Source organism: Homo sapiens, chromosome 5, assembly GCF_000001405.40.
Source record: "Homo sapiens chromosome 5, GRCh38.p14 Primary Assembly".
Taxonomy (NCBI): Eukaryota; Metazoa; Chordata; class Mammalia; order Primates; family Hominidae; genus Homo; species Homo sapiens.
This window is the reverse complement of record NC_000005.10, coordinates 104,060,827-104,067,056: the sequence shown is the minus strand read 5'-3', so window position 1 is coordinate 104,067,056 and position 6,230 is coordinate 104,060,827. Positions and strand designations below refer to the sequence as shown.

The window sequence follows — 6,230 nt, the reverse complement described above, 5'->3', positions numbered from 1 at the left end:
CCCCACCTTAACTCACAAGTATAAGACACCTCTACTCCCTCCTTAGCGACCGACCATGCACCCCTTACCATCCCATTAAAACTGATTCACTCTTACCCCACTCAATGCCAATATCCCATCCCATAGCATGCTTTAAAAGGATTAAAGCCTGTTATCACTCGCCTGCTACAGCATAGGCTTCTAAAACCTATAAACTCTCCTTACAATTCCCCCATTTTACCTGTCCTAAAACCAGACAAGCCCTACAGGTTAGCTCAGGATCTGCACCTTATCAACCAAATTGTTTTGCCTATCCACCCTGTGGTGCCAAACCCATATACTCTCCTATCCTTAATACCTCCCTCTACAACCCATTATTCTGTTCTAGATCTCAAACATGCTTTCTTTACTATTCCTTTGCACCCTTAATCCCAGCCTCTCTTCGCTTTCACTTGGACTGACCCTGACACCCATCAAGCTCAGCAAATTACCTAGGCTATACTGCCACAAAGCTTCACAGACAGCCCCCATTACTTTAGTCAAGCCCAAATTTCTTCCTCATCTGTTACCTATCTCGGCATAATTCTCATAAAAACACATGCGCTCTCCCTGCCAATCATGTCCGACTGATCTCTCAAACCCCAGCACCTTCTACAAAACAACAACTCCTTTCCTTCCTAGGCATGGTTAGCATGGTCAGAATTCTTACACAAGAGCCAGGACCACACACTGTAGCCTTTCTGTCCAAACAACTTGACCTTACTGTTTTAGCCTAGCCCTCATGTCTGCGTGCAGCGGCTGCCGCTGCTTTAATACTTTTAGAGGCCCTCAAAATCACAAACTATACTCAACTCACTCTCTACAGTTCTCATAACTTCCAAAATCTATTTTCTTCCTCACACCTGACGCATATGCTTTCTGCTTCCCGGCTCCTTCAGCTGTACTCACTCTTTGTTGAGTCTCCCACAATCACCGTTGTTCCTGGCCCAGACTTCAATCCGGCCTCCCACATTATTCTGGATACCACACCTGACCCTCATGACTGCATCTCTCTGATCCACCTGATGTTCATCCCATTTCCCCACATTTCCTTCTTCCCTGTTTCTCACCCTGATCACACTTGGTTTATTGATGGCAGTTCCACCAGGCCTAATCGCCACTCACCAGCAAAGGCAGGCTATGCTATAGTATCTTCCACATCATTCATTGAGGCTACCGCTCTGCCCCCCTCCACTACCTCTCAGCAAGCCGAACTAGTTGCCTTAACTCAAGCCCTCACTCTTGCAAAAGGACTATGCATTGATATCTATACTGATTCTAAATATGTCTTTCATATTCTGCACCACCATGCGGTCATATGGGCTGAAAGAGGTTTTCTCACTACACAAGGGTCCTCCATCATTAATGTCTCTTTAATAAAAACTCTACTCAAGGCCGCTTTACTTCCAAAGGAAGCTGGGGTCATTCACTGCAAGGGGCATCAAAAGGCGTAAGATCCCATTGCTCTAGGCAACCCTTATACTGATAAGGTGGCTAGACAAGCAGCTAGCCCTCCAACTTCTGTCCCTCACGGCCAGTTTTTCTCCTTCACATTGGTCACTCCCACCTACTCCCCTGCTGAAACTTCCACCTATCAATCTCTTCCCACACAAGGCAAATAGTTCTTAGACCAAGGAAAATATCTCCTTCCAGCCTCAAGGCCCATTCTATTCTGTCGTCATTTCATAACCTCTTCCATGTAGGTTACAAGCCACTAGCCCATCTCTTAGAACCTCTCATTTCCTTTCCATCACGGAAATCTATCCTGAAGGAGATCACTTCTCAGTGTTTCATCTGCTATTCTACTACCCCTCATGGATTGTTCAGGCCCCCTCCCTTTTCTACACATCAAGCTCAGGGATTTGTCCCTGCCCAGGACTGGCAAATTGACTTTACTCACATGCCTTGAGTCAGAAAACTAAAATATCTCTTAGTCTAAGTAGACACTTTCACTAGATGGGTAGAGGCCTTTCCTACAAGGTCTGAGAAGGCCACCACAGTCATTTCTACCCTTCTGTCAGACATAATTCTTCAGTTTAGCCTTCCCACCTCTATACAGTCTGATAACAGACCAGCCTTTATGAGTCAAATCAGCCAAGCAGTTTTTCAGGTTCTTAGTATTCAGTGAAACCTTTATATTCCTTATAGTCCTCAGTCTTCAGGAAAAGTAGAACAGACTAATGGTCTTTTAAAAACACACCTCACCAAGCTCAGCCACCAACTTAAAAAGGACTGGACGATACTTTTACCACTTTCGCTTCTCAGAATTCAGGCCTATCCTTGGAATGCTACAAGGTACAGCCCATTTAAGCTCCTGTATAGACGTTCCCTTTTATTAGGCCCCAGTCTCATTCCAGACACCAGACCAACTTAGACTGTGCCCCAAAAAACTTGTCATCCCTACTATCTTCTGTCTAGTCATACTCCTATTCACCGTTCTCAACTACTCATACTTGCTCTGCTCTTGTTTACACTGTTTCTCCAAGCCATCACAGCTAATATCTCCTGGTGCTATCCCCAAACCGCCACTCTAAATTCTTGAAGTAAATAAATAATCTTTGCTGGCAGGACTATGCTGAATCTCCTTAGGCACTCTCTAATCAGATGTCCTGGCTCCTCCCAATTCTTAGGCCTTTTATAGCTGTTTTTCTCCTTCTCTTATTCCATTTAGTTTTTCAATTTATACAAAACCGTATCCAGGCCATCACCAATAACTCTACACGACAAATGTTTCTCCTAAAAACCCCATAGTATCACCCCTTACCACAAAATCTTCCTTCAGCTTAATCTCTCCCACTCTACGTTCCCACGCCGCCCCAATCCAGCTCGAAGCAGCCCTGAGAAACATCACCCATTCTCTCTCTCCATACATACCACCCCCCAAAAATTTTCACCGCCCCCACACTTCAACACTATTTTGTTTTATTTTTCTTATTAATATAAGAAGGCAGGAATGTCAGGCCTCTGAGCCCAAGCCAAGCCATCGCATCCCCTGTGACTTGCATGTATATGCCCAGATGGCCTGAAGCAACTGAAGAATCACAAAAGAAGTGAAAATGCCCTGCCCCACCTTAACTGATGACGTTCCACCACAAAAGAAGTGTAAATGGCCGGTCCTTGCCTTAAGTGATGACATTACCTTGTGAAAGTCCTTTTCCTGGCTCATCTGGCTCAAAAAGCACCCCCACTGAGCACCTTGCGACCCCCACTCCTGCCCGCCAGAGAACAAACCCCCTTTGACTGTAATTTTCCTTTACCTACCCAAATCCTATAAAACGGCCCCACCCTTATCTGCCTTCGCTGACTCTCTTTTCAGACTCAGCCCGCCTGCACCCAGGTGAAATAAACAGCCATGTTGCTCACACAAAGCCTGTTTGGTGGTCTCTTCACACGGACACGCATGAAACATATAGTCTTGAAAAATTAATTAAACATTCATCTAAAGAAGTTAGAAAATGCAAAGAAGTGTAAGGAAAGCAGAGATCATTTAATTTTAAAAAGTAGAGATTAATAAATTTGAAACCTTAAGGAATATTTGAAAAAAAAAGATTTTTTTTGGAAAAGAAACTAGATAATCCACTAGTTAAACAAAGGAGACTGGAAAGATAAAAAAAAAAAAATGCTAGTTTAAAAGTAAAAATGGAAAAACTGTTACATTGGGAAATAAAATCCTTCGCTAAAACATATTCATATTAGCCTTAAAATCTGGATAAAACAGATTTTTTAGAAAAATATAAATTACCTAAATTTACTCAAAAAATAACTTACAGGAAAAAAAGGCAGATAGGAGGCAGTACTAACTTGCAGTTCCCACTCGGATAGACAGAACAGCGTGTAGAGACTCCCTTTGTAAACATTTGCTGAAGAACTACCACAGGAACATACCAGGAAAACTGAAAGAATTCACAGACCCTTTGAAAGAGGCAGCTTGTCACTGCAAACTCCATAAGACGGCCAAAAAACTGAGTAGCCAAAGTGTGAGGGGGGAAAGTCCACCTCGAGCACACATCCTCACTGGGGAACCTGAAAATCCAGATCACAGGAGAAAGATTTAACCTTACTGTAACCGCCCACGGGGTTCACCTTGCCTGCTGCCTAGACAGAGCTGATTCATCAAGACAGGGGAATTGTAATAGAGAAAGAGTAATTCACGCAGAGGCGGCTGTGTGGGAGACCAGAGTTTTATTATTACTCAAATCAGTCTCCCCAGCATTCAGGGAGCAGAGTTTCTAAGGATAACTTGGTGGGTTGTGGGGAGCCAGTGAGCCAGGAGTGCTGATTGATTGACTCCTGAGCCAGGTGTCAGATATGAAATCATGGGGAGTTAAAGCTGTCTTCTTGCACTGAGTCAGTTGTTGGGTGGGGCCACAAGATCAGGTGAGCCAGTTTATTGATCTGGGTGATGCCAGCTAATCCATCAAGTGCAAGTCTGCAAAATATCTCAAGCACTGAATTTAGGAGCAGTTTAGAAAGGGTCAGAATCTTGTAGCCTCCAGCTGCATGACTCCTAAACCATAATTTCAAATCTTGTGGCTAATGTTAGTCCTACAAAGGCAATCTAGTCCCCAGGCAAGAAGGAGGTCTGCTTTGGGAAAGGGCTGTTACTGTCTTTGTTTAAACTATAAACTATAAATTAAATTTCTCCCAAAGTTAGTTCAGCCTAACTTTGGAATGAACAAGGACAGCTTGGAGGTTAGAAACAAGATGGAGTCAGTTAAGTTAGACCTTTTTCACTGTCTCAGTCATGATTTTGCAAAGGCAGTTTCATTACCTAGAGCCAAAACAAATTTAGAGAGCTGAGGGAAATATACAAGTAGAAGAAGCAGTGGGAAGAGCCCTATAGACACTCCTGGTTGGCAGGGAAACCATTTCTGACTTTATCTCACACGGGTCCTTGGGGAGGGCTGCCAGTGAAACTGGGGAAGGACCACAGGGAGAAGGAAACTTCCAGCTGAACTTTGTAATAATTTCAATTGAGCACAGATTTTCCTGGGCAGAATCCAGGCAGGGTGAGGGGTGGGGGGAGGCGGGCTAGGCACGAATTACAAGTGCAGATAGGAGCACAGAAGTCAAGACAGGTGGGGAGAGGGAGGGTCTGAAATCCCAGCAGGGATGCTCGTAGCCTGGGGAAAGATCACAGTCCTCCTTACCAGCTGCCTGGATATAAACTCAGTGCTGTTGGTGGGTATGGTGGGAGTGAGACTGGCCTTGCTGGCTACATGGGAACTGAGTGAGTCCTGTCACTGCCAGCTTTCACCTACTTCCCTGGTGATCTCTATGATGCAGGAGAGGCAGCCATAATCCCCCCAGGAACATAACTCCATTAGGCTGAGAACCACACCCTCATCCCCCACAGTGGCTGCAGCAAGCCTCACCCAAGGAGAGTCTGAGCTCAAACACACCTAACCCTGCCCCCACCTAATGGTCTTTCTCTACCCGCTCTGGTAGCTGAAGACACAAGACATAATCTCTTGGGAGTTCTATGGCCCTGCCCATCATCTGAGAAATTCAAATATTTATTCGGGTGATCTTAGAGCTAGCTCCCATACCCCTATACTACCACTAATGCGCTCTTGAAAGTGCCACCTCCTGACTGGAGGCCAACCAACTCAAGTCATTACAGCAATTAATACAAGAATAAACCTGCTCCAAGAAGAGAGAAAACAACAGTTAATTCCACCGCCTGTAACATCCTGGCTAACCAGAGGTCTTGCGTCTGTCCACAAGACAGCTTCACTGCTAGCACAACAAGCATTCAAGAATCAGCACGCTAAAAAAAACTGTAACCAAGGACCCTCACAGAGTCCACTTTACTCCCTTGTTACCTTCACTGAAGCAGGTGCTGGTATCCATTGCTGAGAGACCTGAAGATGAATTGCGTCACAAGACTCTGTGCAGACACTTCCCAGTACCAGCCCAGAGCCCAGTAGCTCTGTGGAGAGGCTAGACCCAGAAGAGCAATAACAATAACTGTATTCCAGCTCTCAGGAAGCCCCATCCCTAAGGGAAGAGAGAGAATACCACATCAAGGGATCACCCTGTGGAAAAAAATATCTGAACAGCAGTGTGTTGAGACCCAGGTCTTTCCTCTGACACAGTCTACCCAAATGAGAAAGAACCAGAAAAACAATTCTGGTAATATAAAAAAGCAAAATTCTTTAGTACCACCAAAAGATCACACTAGGTCACCAGCAATGGATCTAAACCAAGAA

General features: G+C 44.8%; 1 annotated feature.

Moving 5' to 3' along the window:
- Window positions 2,492-3,456: an enhancer, noted in NCBI's record as "OCT4-NANOG-H3K27ac hESC enhancer chr5:103399302-103400266 (GRCh37/hg19 assembly coordinates)". NCBI's record gives its function as "activates a minimal SCP1, AML or CMV promoter by ChIP-STARR-seq in naive H9 embryonic stem cells {active_cell/tissue: H9 hESC(naive)}" and the evidence as "EXISTENCE:reporter gene assay evidence [ECO:0000049][PMID:30033119]".